Source organism: Homo sapiens, chromosome 1 (genome assembly GCF_000001405.40).
Source record: "Homo sapiens chromosome 1, GRCh38.p14 Primary Assembly".
Lineage (NCBI taxonomy): Eukaryota > Metazoa > Chordata > Mammalia > Primates > Hominidae > Homo > Homo sapiens.
The window spans coordinates 225,514,556-225,528,558 of record NC_000001.11 but is presented as its reverse complement, the minus strand read 5'-3'; the positions used below and the strand labels follow the sequence as shown (position 1 = coordinate 225,528,558).

The window sequence follows — 14,003 nt, the reverse complement described above, 5'->3', positions numbered from 1 at the left end:
ACTCCTCAATCTACCAACCCGAATAAGAGTCCAGACACTCCTGTCTTGTCATCTCCCTGCTCAGCATTCCTTATGGCTGCCTCTCCTCACATCAGTTTACTTCTTTGGCCTGGCATTTAGGAACTCACCCCATGTTTGTGTTTCACCCCCTCATGACTGTCTCTGTGTACACCATACTCATCTTTCGCTCTGTGTTTGTGTGTAGCATTCACCTCTTCTGACATGTCCTTCTCATATCCTTTCTACGTTGTCATTTTCTGTAGACTCTTCTCCAGGCACACTGATGTTCTTGTTTTCTGAATTCCTGTAACTTAATCACACAGTGTTTTGTATTTTCTTCCTACGTGTTTATTTTACATTTGAGTATTACCTCCACAGTGAACATTATGGGCTAATTTGAGAGTAGAAACCTCAATAAAATTTCTAATAAAAAGTTAAGAAGTTTCTGGTACTGAATTAATTTATATGCAGGTTTTGGGGTATAAGACAGAAAGTATATATTTGACCTTTAATGTGGTAATTTTCTTCACTTTTGCCTATGGGTTTAGAGGAGAAATTACTGATGTTTAGCTGGTAAATGGCCTTTTAGAGACTTCCCAGGTGCTAGGGAAGACATTACCTAGGAAGGTTGTTGAGTTGATTAAGATAACACACTCTTTTCTTGCTGCCTAGGATTTTCTGTGTTTTTTGGGAGTTGGTGGGAGGTTCACGGAGGAGGTGCTCTTTGAGCTGTGCCTAAAGAGGCAATAAAGTAGGAGTTTCCAGTCATAGAAGGGAAAAGCATTCCAGGAAGAAAGAGTAGGTGTGTAAAGGCAAGGCGATGCAAACACACGTGCAATGTGAGTACGCTTCCTCCTTCCCCCTCCAGGACCAGTGGTATGGTTAGATGAGGTTGTGTCCACCTTGTAAGGGCCTTATATACAATTATAAAAGAGATATTTGTCATTTTTCTTTGACATATATCCCGTACAATCTGTTTTTGCCTGTGGTTAAACCATACTTGGAAAAAGATACTACAAAACTCTAAAATATCTACTAAATATTTATATAGACACTTAGTACTGGTTTTCACTTTCTCTCAGCTGACAGTAGTGCATGGCTGGATCTGGTTGTGTAGGCTAGCAAACGGGAAGGATGTATAGCACAGTCTAGTGTGAAGTTTGGTTCCCAGTAGAAATTATATTTCCAAAATTTATTTCATGTGGTTATTTATATAAAAATCATTTTTTAAAACTTGATTTAATCTTCAGAGGCACAATAAAATACCCTCAGGCCAACTTTTTACTTCATAAGTTGAGTGAAATTGTCCTGTTAACTTTGGCTGTTTAACTGGCCTTTTTCTATACTATTACTGGAACGTGTAGTGAAAAACATTATCAGTTTGCATTATAAATTCACAGCTGTGAGGATGTGGGTGAGGTGCCAAATGAAAAGAGGGATTAGGTGAAAGTTGGCCAACTTGGCTTCTTTCCCTTGCTCAGCTCCTAGACGCTGGCAGCCAGACCTGTAGAGCCCAGCAAGAAACTAAGATTCCTCTGTGGGAAAATTGCCATGGCCAAGAGAAGACAGAGATGTTGACACTCGTCCTTGCCAGTGAAGCTCATTTACTTAAGGGCCTCTGATCAACTTTGGTGCTGCTTATAAATATGAACAGACAGCCAAGGATCATCAAACCTTTCAGGCCAACTTCTATAAAAGAAGGACCAAAACAAAGAGTTGAAATTGTATGAAATAGATGCAATGCAGGGAGCGGAAGAAAACCTAAAAATATACTGCAATAGCTTCAGAGAACTAGGAGAATATATTTCATTGATGAAATAAAAATGGGTAGTTATTTTAAATGGATCATTCAGAGAACAAGAAAGTAAACTTGGAAACTTTTTTTAAAAACCACCTCACTGTTTTTTTCCCCGCCGAGAAATAGAAGGGCGTGTGCTGTGGCTTACATAATCCCAGCACTTTGGGAGGCTGAGGTGGGCAGATCACGAGGTTAGGAGTTAAAGACCAGCCTGGCCAATATGGTGAAACCCGGTCTCTACTAAAAATGCAAAAATTAGCCAGGCCTGGTGGCATGCACCTGTAGTTCCAGCTACTTGAGAGGCTGAGGCAGAAGAATCGCTTGAACCCGGGAGGCCAAGGTCGCAATGAGCTGAGATCGTGCCATTGCACCCCAGCCTGGCGACAGAGCAAGATTCTGTCTCAAAAGAAAAAAAAAAAAAAGAGAGAGAGAGAAAGAAAGAAATAGAAGTTTTGAGAACTAAGGTTGAGGAATTTATTCTCTGAAAATAGTCCTAAAACAAAGAGGTGGCATATGAGAAAGAAAGTAAAGTAAGAAGATCAGATTAGAAGGTTCAGCATCCAAATAATAGAAGTTCTGGGGGAGTGGGAAGGAGAACAAAAACGTGAAGAAATTGAATTTGCAAATAAATAACAAGAAAATTTGCTGGAACTCATTGATCGTCTAGATCAAAGGTCCGCAAACTTTTTCTGGGAAGGGCCATCTGTGTCATTTGCTAGACTCTTCCTTTGTAGCTCGCCATAGACAAAACGGAAATAAATGGTTGTAGCCAGATTTGGCCCTAGGGCTGTATACAGTTTGCTAGCTTCTGGTTTAGGTCAAAAAAGCTCACCAAAAGTCCAGCCCAGTAAGTGGGGAAAAAAACAAAGACCTCCCACCAAGACCTCTCACTATGGTATTTTAGAATGTTGTCCTAGAATAAGTAAGATTTCAAATGCTTGGTAAGGGGTGGTGGGAGTGACAAGGTGGGGGAGCTTCAAAATCCTAAGAGAATCTCTTTCCAGTCTAAAATCTCCTCTTCTGCACAACTTCCTAAGAAGCTATTGGAAGATGTGTTCTGTTAAGATGAGGGAGTAAAGCAAGAATGATGAACCCATGACAGCATCCAGGAGACAAGGAATCCAACTTAGGAAAGAGATAGGTAATTCCCGCACGACTAAGGTCAAAGCAAAACCTAGGGAATAGCCCATCCGGTTGGGGGCGCTGGGAGGGCTGAAGGCTCCCGACGGGTAGTTTCTGAGGGAAAGCAAAACAAAAGAATAGAAAAACCTGACCGTGGTTCTGCTATGTTGGACCATGTTGATAGGGATTACAGTTCTAATGGAGAGTTTGGGGTGAAGTAGGGACAGGTATATAGAAAAAGAATCAAATTTTTAAAAGTACTACTTTTTAGCACCAAAGTAAGAAAAAAATTGTTCTAGAAAGTAAATGTGATCAGCAGTGAATTATGTGATATGTGAATATTGGTGTATCCAAAGTGGTGGTATGAGTTTATTGGGAAAATGGAGAAGAAAAAGTTTTGGGGAGCTAGAGATATAGGAATTAAATCATTTGTATAGTAGGAAGTCAGTAGATAACATCTAAATATGAAAAGTCTAGAAGTAATAGTTCTAAATGAATTACTGTATTTAGAAACATGTGATAAGTACCAGAGTATTGAAAATAATTGCTTCTGGGGAGCAAAATCAGAAGTGGTGAGCGTTAGTAAGAGGATTACTGTTCTAAGTCTTATAATATAATTTGGCTTTTTAAGTTATTTATTACTACTGTTATGTTTAATTTTTTATTTTTAATAAATGTAGAGTCAATAGAGCACATGTCTAAGTGTTCATTCTTATTAGTCCAATACCCTTTATTATTATATCATTTATTAAATAGTTTTTGGTTCCTACTCATATAATTAATATTTGGCTTGGCCATGATGAGGAAACATATTCTAAGAAACATGAGTCAGTCCTATGTTAGTCTCCACATAGAACCTTAATATAGTTAATATCTATAAATAGTTCGCAAATCACCAGTACTATCTGAAAGTTATAAAAGGGGAATAATAATTGCGGCACAGAACTGAGCAGTTGGAACAATGTTGGAACAATGAGAGTGTATAGCCCTCCTATTGGCCTTCGGAGGCCGGATGGACCAAAAGTTGACCGCCTTCTCTTGTGAGTATCAACTCTTGCCTCAGCGGCTTTGTAATATTAAAACTTAGCTGTCTTATTACATTTTATCCATTTTTTATTTGTTTACTGATAGTGAAGTGAAATGCTCATGTTATACAATCAAACTGTATCTGTGTAGTTTTATTTTCTGAGAAATGTCAATAATAACAGTGTTACTAAATATTACCAACTCAGAACATTTTTCCTAGACTGTTCCTACTTCATTTTGTTAAAATTGAAATCATTCTTATTTACCTAGTAACACTATTCATTATAGGTAAAGCTGGGTGAAATGTATTTTGAACTGATGTTACTTAACATTTTACTTGCTTCAAGAAATGTCTTTGAGTCAACATAAACTAAATAATGAATATATATTTAAAAAGCTATTAATCTCAATGTGGGCTGATGCTTTGTGCATCTATTTACATTTGGGGATAGCTGTTTTGGAGAGAAATAGGTATTTGGGTGGTGGAGGAACTGTGTCTGATATTTTTTAAATGCTTAAAAAATAATATTGGTGATTTGCACTATAATTGTTTCTGAAAAAAATTTATATTCTCAGAAACTTTCAAATTATTGTAGAATATATATGCCTAGCTTAAAAGAAAAATTAAAGTAGTCCGTCAGGATTTTTCATGGTTCAGAATTAAGGCACTCTTTCTTTGAAAAAAGTCCTCAGACGATTCTATTAATGACTGAAGAAAACAGTTGGAGAGAGAACTCTAGGAAGAGGAGCCATGTGCATTTCCAGTATGTGAATTGGCAGCGATAATTCTGAGGAAAAGCAAAGTTTATAAATTTGGAAACTCCTCCTAGAAAGCTACACAAATGTCTTGCTTTAGAGGTCAAAACATGAGAGTCAAATTTATAAACCATCCAATTTAGGTGGGAATTATTCATGCCACACAAGATTCGGAAGCCAGAGATTTTCTGCTTGAATCACTATTTTGGGAAATCCGTTTAGATGGGCATCTTTTCAGCAAGCAAGCTAAAAATTAGCTTAAAGTGTTCAACACTTTCTTTTCTTACCTTCAGAACAAGAAAATAGTAAGAATCTCCTGCAGCTATATGAATTGCCTGCTTGAATCATCTGTCTGTGAACTTAGAAATATTCTCCAGCATTGTGTCCTTTTCCTATATCAGTAGACACTCCTTATCTTTTATAGCCTGAAAACCCTGGAATATGATGACATGTGGAACAAACTTCTTAAGTCAATACAACCTAGCTGTAAATGCTGTTACCAATAATTCTTTCAGATTCACCTCACCCATGCCTGGCCTTCTGCTTGTGACTTAAGCTTACTTTTTGTGTGTTAAAAGCATTGTATTGCTTAGAGAAACAGCCATTAACTTGGTGGTTAAAAAAAAACCCAACTACTAAGAACTTGAATGAGAAATGAAATGTAGTCATAGAATACTATTTGGTTCAGCTGTGAGCAGTATTTACATTATCATGTTAATAATGTAAGCTGTGAATATTGATTTTCCATATTGGGAGAAGCATGAGTGTAGTGAGGGAGTTGTAGAAGGCATCTTCCTGTTAGAAAGTAGATAGCAAAAGCTAAAATGTAAGAAACAGCTGCAAGAGTAGGAAACGGGTGGGAGGGTTGAGGCAGTGAACTACTGATTTTTGTTATAAACTTTAAAAACTATATATTTATGTTGTTTTGGTAAAATAGAAGAAGTAACAAATGCTCAAAGATCTAAAAACTTAGATCTTTTCATCATAGATTTCTTGGGACAGCTACTGTGCTCTTAAATGTTTCTCTTTAGCTTCTGTATTTAAATTTGTTCTAATTAGAATAATATGGGTGTATCTTTTGCCCTTTGGGCCCAACAGATTGCTTAGAGCATTATATGTAAAATGGCCCATATTTTTTGATGTAGGTTGAATTATCTGAAATTTAATACAGGCTCCAGCTGAGTTTATTAACTGCAGGTTACTGGAGAAACAACAACAACCAACCCTGACTTTCCTCTGTTTATTATTAAAAACATTCTTTTGAATACATCTAATTTCTTCCCCTCATCCCTGCAGATAAAGTTATTGTTATCCCTCAAAAACTTTGGCAGCTAGTGATTTATCAAATAGCATAATGAAGTCCGTACTAGATCCTGAAAATCTGATTTTATTAGTAGTCAGTATCTCAAACAACTACTCATAAATAAATAACTACTCATAAATAAAGTCAGTTTCTTGTGTTTTTCTCTTGCAGTCATTGTTAAGTGTGATGGTATGTCCAGGAGAGGGTGTGTGTTTTATGAGAGCAGTGGGGTTGATGTATTTGTCAAATGGGCCTTTTCTTTTGTTGTATAGCCAGCTTAGGAAACATGAAGGAGAGAGATTTTTGGAAAGATCTTACTGGTGTGTTGGTACCGCTGGAAGGAACAAAGGGATAGCATGCATGTGCTGTCATTTAGCTTTGTCTCTAACTAGACCCACCCAGTTTATTAGCCAGTCCAGAAAGTCCCAATTTGAAATTTCCAAATAATAACTATTGTTGGGCCGGGCGCGGTGGCTCACACCTGTAATCCCAGCACTTTGGGAGGCCAAGGCGGGTGGATCATGAGGTCAGGAGATCGAGACCATCCTGGCTAACACTGTGAAACCCCGTCTCTACTAAAAATACAAAAAATTAGCCGGGCATGGTGGCGGGCACCTGTAGTCCCAGCTACTCGGGAGGCTGAGGCAAGAGAATGGTGTGAACCTGGGAGGTGGAGCTTGCAGTGAGCCAAGATTGCATGGCTGTACTCCAGCCTGGGCGACAGAGCAAGACTCTGTCTCGGGGAAGAAAAAACAAAACAAAACAAAAAAACTATCGTTATAGCCCACATTGAACGTTCTTATGTTTCAAGTACTTCTTAAAGAGCTTTTAGGTATTACTTCATTTAATCTTCCCCACAGTGCTATGAAATACGTATGTGTAAGATAAAGATACTTTTTTTTTTTTTTTTTTGGAGACAGGGTCTTACTCTGTCACCCAGGCTGGGGTACAGGGGCATAGTCTCAGCTCACAGCCACCTCCATTCCCCGGGTTCAAGTGATCCTCCTGCCTCAGCCTCCCAAGTAGCTGGGATTACAGGCGCACACCACCACGCCCAGCTAATTTTTGTAATTTTAGTAGAGACAGGGTTCCACCATGTTGGCCAAGCTAGTCTCAAACTCCTGACCTCGGCCTCCCAAAGTGCTGGGATTACAGGCATGAGCCACCGTGCCTGGCAAAGATAACTTTTTTTTTAGGGAAGGTTAATTGACACAACTTTTCCTAAAGACAATTTGGAACCATGTATCAAAAATCTTAAATTCATACCTTTTCACCTAGCAAAATTTATGTCCTTATTGATCCTATAGAAACAGAAAAAGATTCAAAGATGAAGACAAATGTTATTGCAGTATTGCCAATAGTGTTAGGATAACTTAATATCCTACTGTAGGAGACTGCTTAGACTGTGGACAGCAAAATAATCGAATATTATTATGCACTCATGGAAAATAAAGATGCTGAACTAAGTGCCTTAGGATAACTCTGTGTGTGTGTGCGCGCGCGTGCGTGTGTCCATCCAGAGTTGTACACACAGGCAGGTTCTCATCCCAGATATCCTCAGTTTTACTAACTTATGTCTCCCTCCCTCCCTCCCTCCCTCCCTCCCTCCCTCCCTCCCTCCCTCCCTCCCTTCCTCCCTTCCTTCCCTTCTTTTTCTTCCTTCCCCGCTTCCTCCTTTCTTTTCTTTCATTGTTTTTGGAGACAAGGTGTCATTCTGTTGCCTGGGCTGATGTGTGATGATGCAATCTTATCTTACTGTAGCCTCAGACTCCTAGGCCCAAGCAATCCTTCTCCCTCAGCCTCCCAAGTAGCTGGGAATACAGGTGCATGGCACCATGCCTGGCTGATTTTAAAATTTTTTGTAGAGATGGGTCTTGCTTTGTTGTGCAGGCCCATCTTGAACTCTTGGGTTCAGACAATCCTCCCACTCAGCCTCCCAAAGTGCTAGGATTACAGCTGAGCCACTGCTCCCAGACCAACTTTCACAATATATTAAGTGAGAGAAAGGAAAGCAGATTTCACAGTAGCGGGAAATGGTTACATTTTATTTTGTTTTTAAAGTTTATATGTGTATTTTTACACAAGGGGAAGTCTAGAGGTATATAGGGGTGCGTGTGTGCGCGTATGTGTATATATAGATGTGTGTCTTTATATACATATGTTGATGATAGTTGCCTCTGGATATGAGATTTCAATCATTTAAAGTTTATTTCTTCTTTCTTGACTCTTTTTCATTCAGTAAACTTTTTTTTTTTTTTTGAGGTGGAGTCTTGCTCTGTCACCCAGGCTGGAGTGCAGTGGCACGATCTCGGCTCACTGCAGCCTCTGCCTCCCAGGTTCAAGCGATTCTCCTGCCTCAGCCTCCCAAGTAGCTGGGATTATAGGCGCACGCTACCATGCCCGGCTAATTTTTTATATTTTTGGTAGAGATGGGGTTTCACCATGTTGGCCAGGCCAGTCTCGAACTCCTGACCTCAAGTGATGCACCTGCCTCGGCCTCCCAAAGTGCTGGGATTACAGGTGTGAGTCACTACACCTGGCCCATTCAGTAAATATTTATTGAGCTATTGCTGTGGCCAGTCATTGTATTTTCTGAAATATTATTTGTACAATTAAATTTGATATTAAGGATATTACAATTACAAATGTTTTCACTAAATAATTAAAATAATGACTTGGTTATTAAAGTGGTATGTTATTTGGAAAATTCATTTACTTGCAACACTACTCATGAAAAGTACAGAATAAAATGAAATGTTAGTGCAATGTGCTGAAGCATTCAGCCAATATGATGCTAATAGGAGAAATGATTTTCATTTGTATGAAACAGTCTCTATCCAAGGTAGCCTTCATGTGGGAGGAGAGATGTTTGCATGCTCTACATTGCTTTTATTTGACTCAGAAATAGTTTACATAGGTGAAAAGAATCGCTTTTTCATGATGAGTAGCCATAGATGCATGTTTTTACTTTTTTTTTTTTTTTTCCAGACAACTACAAGAACAGCAACGGCAAAAGGAGCTGGAGCGGGAAAGGCTGGAGCGAGAAAGAATGGAAAGAGAAAGGTTGGAGAGAGAGAGGTTAGAAAGGGAAAGGCTGGAGAGGGAGCGACTGGAACAAGAACAGCTGGAGAGAGAGAGACAAGAACGGGAACGGCAGGAACGCCTGGAGCGGCAGGAACGCCTGGAGCGGCAGGAACGCCTGGAGCGGCAGGAACGCCTGGATCGGGAGAGGCAAGAAAGACAAGAACGAGAGAGGCTGGAGAGACTGGAACGGGAGAGGCAAGAAAGGGAGCGACAAGAGCAGTTAGAAAGGGAACAGCTGGAATGGGAGAGAGAGCGCAGAATATCAAGTGCTGGTAAGAAGTTTACAAACTCTTCTGTGTTCTTGTATCTGAGCTTGGATGATGTCTCTTGTGCAGTCATGTGTTAAAATATTTCACATTTGAGATGTTTGGGATTAAGCCATACAATTTGAAATTATGAATAAATATGCAGCAATTACTACTTTAACATTTTCTTTTTATTTCTCTCTGTATTGCTTTTATTGCTTGGAGACTTAAAGAAAGCTCTTGGAAATTTTTATTCTGCCATTCTAATTCTTCTAACACCCTATAAAATGGCTATAAAGTGTAAGTGTGTTTTTATGGGAAATTTTTTATACTGGATGAACTTCAAATATATTTCCCTCATGAGATCACTTAAATTGTCTCAAATACTATAGTACTGTAGTACCATTCAGCAAGAAATTTGCTTGATTGCATTCTAAAGATTTTGGAGGAAGAATTATTTTAGAGAAATATTCTCTAAGACTAGTTATTTAAATATGCTTTCTAGTATTATGAAAAATTAGTGAAAATTATGGAATCTGGAATTTACTGAAAGACATAAGGGTTAATATATGGCTGAAAGTTTGAGATATTTTAACGTTTATTAAAATTAACATTCATTATAGGATTTAAGAATATTCCTTATGGCCTAATTAAAAAGTCTTAATGTGGTTTGATTAAACAGTGGTTGGTTGGTTGGTTTATTAAGTTAATTTATGTATTTTTAGCTACCTAATTATTTTCTGGAGTTATGGCCAACAAAACAAAACTTTTCCACAAGTTAGCATTGAATAGGAGCATTGAACCCTTCATATTAAATGTTTTGCCAGCTTTACTAGTTTTGCTATTTGTTGTTTTTAAAAAAACAACTAAATTTATTCTTCTGTTTATGGTCCTATTCATGTGATTTTAATGTCCTTTTTCTTGTAGACTAAATAAAAATTAAGACTAATACTAGCTTTTTCTTGTAAAAGAAATTAGTCAATTAAATTTATTAATCCACTTATTAGATAAAAGGAAACTTATTTCATCCCCTTCTGAATCTCAAAATGTATTTACAAGTTAAAATATTCTTGGGTGAAAATAGTTATTTGCGTTTGTGCCTAATTCTCTGATACTAACTGTAGTCTACATTTATACATTGTGTCTGAATGCTGGTTTTGTGGCTTCACTAGCTCCCTTTTTCTCTCTCCTTTTTTATCCTGTCTTTTGCTGCTGCTTTCCACCTTCTGTCCAGCTCCATCTTCAGACAGCTCCCTGTATAACGCTCCACTTCCTGAGTATTCCAGTTGCCAGCCTCCTTCAGCACCTCCTCCATCATACGCTAAAGTCATCTCAGCTCCAGTGTCAGATGCCACTCCTGATTATGCTGTAGTGACTGCTTTGCCACCTACTTCCACACCCCCTACACCACCACTGCGACACTCAGCGACACGTTTTGCAACATCTTTAGGTTCAGCCTTCCACCCTGTTCTTCCCCATTACGCTACAGTTCCTCGTCCTCTGAACAAAAACTCTCGACCTTCTTCTCCTGTGAACACACCCTCTTCTCAGCCTCCAGCTACGAAGCCCTGTGCCTGGTCTACTTCCAATTTTTCGCCCCTCCCTCCATCTCCTCCAATAATGATTAGCAGCCCCCCAGGCAAAGCTACTGGTCCAAGGCCTGTCCTCCCTGTTTGTGTTTCTTCTCCTGTGCCCCAAATGCCTCCATCACCGACAGCACCCAATGGGCTGGTTGACTCTGTAACATATCCAGTGTCTCCACCGCCTACCTCAGGGCCAGCAGCTCCTCCGCCGCCGCCTCCACTGCCTTCCCTCGCATCACTCTCACACTGTGGATCTCAAGCTTCTCCTCCTCCAAGCACCCCTATTGCCTCAACTCCCTCATCCAAGCCTAGTGTTCTCCCTTCTCCCTCTGCAGCTGCCCCTGCCTCTGTTGAGACTCCTCTAAACTCTGTGCTGGGAGACTCTTCTGCTTCTGAGCCAGGCTTGCAGGCAGCCTCTCAGCCGGCCGAGACTCCATCCCAACAGGGTAAGGCTTTCATTATTGCTACTAACAGCTAATCACTTGAAAATGTTATATAGCAGTGACTTTAATTGCCTGAATGGATGGGTAGGATGGTTTTGATCCTTGAACATTTATATGCCATAATGCCATGCTTTTTTTTTTTTTAATTAAAAAAATTAAAGTAGAAAAATGTTTTTCCTGTTGGATTAATTGCATTTGGAGGAATTTCCTTATTGAACTAGGTTTTGATATCTTTTATAGTATCGCAGTTAAAGATGTTTTCTAGTATTTAAGAGCCCCTCATAATACATTTCTTTATTTTTTTCTTTTTTTTTTTTGTTTTTTTGAGACAGAGTCTTGCTGTGTTGCCCAGGCTGGAGTAGAGTGGCACGATCTCAGCTCACTGCAACCTCCACCTCCCGGGTTCCAGCAATTCTCCTGCCTTAGCCAGCTGAGTAGCAGGAGTTACAGGCACATGCCACCACGCCTGGCTAATTTTTGTATTTTTAGTAGAGACAGGGTTTTGTCATGTTGGCCAGGCTGGTCTTGAACTCCTGACCTCATGTGATCTGCCCCTTCGGCCTCCCAAAGTTGCTAGGATTACAAGTGTGAGCACCGCACCCAGCTAATACATGTCTTTCACTGGGAAAACTTTGCTTGACACGTTGATCTACCACACAATAAATACATGATCTAAATTGTTTTCCTTCATTTTTCTGGGAGACTTAGAGAGATATATTTAGTGCCCAACTGTAGTCATTAGATACGTCATCCCAGAGTTTCCTTTGGAACAGTTCTGATCTTGGGCCCTGTTTCCTTCTTGCCTTTCCTATATTAGATGCCCCATGTTGGACTTCCAGGATAGGTGTCACCCTAACCCTTGGAGCATTATGACTTTGCAGGAGGAGTAGAGAGGATGGCAGGGTTCATATATGCCCTAAAGGGTTCCAAGGTCCAAAATTACAATAAGTAGTGGCTTGAAGGGGTAATCAAGAGAGAATAGCATCCTCTGTAGTTATTCTCCCCGTCCCTACCTTATTGTTATGGTAACAGGGAAGGCAGGATGTAATCTCTAAGTGGATTATTTGTAAGTAGAAAAGGACCTGGTTCTGTAAGTAAATAAGAAGATGCTTGGCAACCCTAGTTTTTAAAATATGATTTAAGGAGGACTACAGAAAGAAAACTGAAAACAAATTTGTACTTAAACATTGCAAGGCTTGTTATTGCTGTATATGTATATATTTTGTTGTTGTTGACTTACAAATTTGCTTAAAAGGTTAGTCAGAATTCTAAGACGTTCAGTTTGGTTTCACCATGACAGTTATACTGTACAAAATGGGCACAGTCAGCCTGACAAAGTGACCTGCTGTACCCTCAGAACTCTTAACAACCCCTACAGAAGGGACAGACTATTTCTAGATGCTTCTTTTAACAATTGATGTTTTCTGCTTGTGTAACTGCTCAAGCTGAAAAAGTTAGCAATTACCACCCAGTGTGCAAAATAGCATTTTATTCGTTCTGAAAACACCCCTCTTAAACCTTAACTAAAAGAGCACCTACTGTTTCAGGATTCTGTTATTAAATAAATTCTTGTTCACTCCCTTTGTGATTTTATAACATTTGAACATTTCTCTTCTTGCCCCCCATTTTGTGGGATAAAAACAACTCTACTTCAAATCCTATGGTATTTAATTATTTCCGAGCGTTATTTTGAGGTTTTACTTTGTACTAGTAAATTCCTTTACTTCAGTGATTCTCAGCCTTGGCTATCCATTGAATTTAAATGTGAAGTATTTTTTAAAATGCTGAAGCTGGGACTTACTCCTCCTTCATGTTTTTAATACAGCCACTTTGACTGTAAACAATTAAATGTATGTGTTCACTGTTACTGAATTTACTGTCTCAACACTTAAGGTTAATGTGGATTATTTTGGGTCTGATATTTCAAGTAGTACTAACTGCCATCCTATATACTAGTTTGTTTTTTCAGGGACGCTTACCTCTCTTCCAAATTTTATAAGTATTTATTTTGCTTATTTACCAAATCCCCATGAAAAAAAAAAGTCTTAATTAGATGATCTGTTGCATAGTTCTATTACTAAAGCTCTAACCTAAAGTAAGTAGTTATATATACTTGGACCTTACATTTCAGTATCTTTCAAAAACTGATCTAGACTTTTACAACTATGATAAATTGGACTCATTAAGTAAATACATGAGTCAGTTTAATTTAGCATGGCATTCTGCGTACCTTCCCACATAAAATAATATCACTCAGCTCTATTGTTGATGGTCTTACTTAACATTTCTCTCTCTCAGGCATTGTCTTGGGACCACTTGCACCTCCACCTCCTCCACCACTCCCACCAGGGCCTGCACAGGCTTCAGTAGCCCTCCCTCCTCCCCCAGGGCCCCCTCCACCTCCTCCACTCCCATCCACCGGGCCTCCACCGCCCCCTCCTCCCCCTCCTCTCCCTAATCAAGTACCCCCTCCTCCTCCACCACCTCCTGCCCCACCCCTCCCTGCATCTGGATTCTTTTTGGCATCCATGTCAGAAGACAATCGCCCTTTAACTGGACTTGCAGCTGCAATTGCCGGAGCAAAACTTAGGAAAGTGTCACGGGTAAATACCTTTCTGAAAAATTTTTTTAATATGTCTTATT

The 14,003-nt window shown here is 39.4% G+C and overlaps 1 protein-coding gene across 35 annotated transcripts in view, besides 3 other annotated features; it reads left to right on the top strand.

Annotated features, from left to right (window-relative positions):
- ENAH (ENAH actin regulator) overlaps positions 1-14,003 on the top strand; it is a 167,050-nt gene that overhangs the window by 125,320 nt on the left and 27,727 nt on the right. For 14 of the 35 annotated variants that reach the window (XM_024448319.2, XM_024448308.2, XM_024448318.2 and 11 more), the window contains 3 exons: positions 8,994-9,361; positions 10,569-11,363; positions 13,659-13,963. In XM_024448319.2, the coding sequence (XP_024304087.1) occupies positions 8,994-9,361; positions 10,569-11,363; positions 13,659-13,963 (1,468 nt within the window). The remainder of the gene's footprint in view (positions 1-8,993; positions 9,362-10,568; positions 11,364-13,658; positions 13,964-14,003) is intronic. The other 21 variants (XM_017001751.2, XM_017001748.2, XM_017001749.2 and 18 more) reach the window with 2 other exon arrangements.
- Positions 9,159-9,660: an enhancer, noted in NCBI's record as "H3K4me1 hESC enhancer chr1:225706601-225707102 (GRCh37/hg19 assembly coordinates)". NCBI's record gives its function as "activates a minimal SCP1, AML or CMV promoter by ChIP-STARR-seq in naive H9 embryonic stem cells {active_cell/tissue: H9 hESC(naive)}" and the evidence as "EXISTENCE:reporter gene assay evidence [ECO:0000049][PMID:30033119]".
- Positions 10,590-11,110: an enhancer, noted in NCBI's record as "H3K27ac-H3K4me1 hESC enhancer chr1:225705151-225705671 (GRCh37/hg19 assembly coordinates)". NCBI's record gives its function as "activates a minimal SCP1, AML or CMV promoter by ChIP-STARR-seq in primed H9 embryonic stem cells {active_cell/tissue: H9 hESC(primed)}" and the evidence as "EXISTENCE:reporter gene assay evidence [ECO:0000049][PMID:30033119]".
- Positions 11,111-11,633: an enhancer, noted in NCBI's record as "H3K27ac-H3K4me1 hESC enhancer chr1:225704628-225705150 (GRCh37/hg19 assembly coordinates)". NCBI's record gives its function as "activates a minimal SCP1, AML or CMV promoter by ChIP-STARR-seq in primed H9 embryonic stem cells {active_cell/tissue: H9 hESC(primed)}" and the evidence as "EXISTENCE:reporter gene assay evidence [ECO:0000049][PMID:30033119]".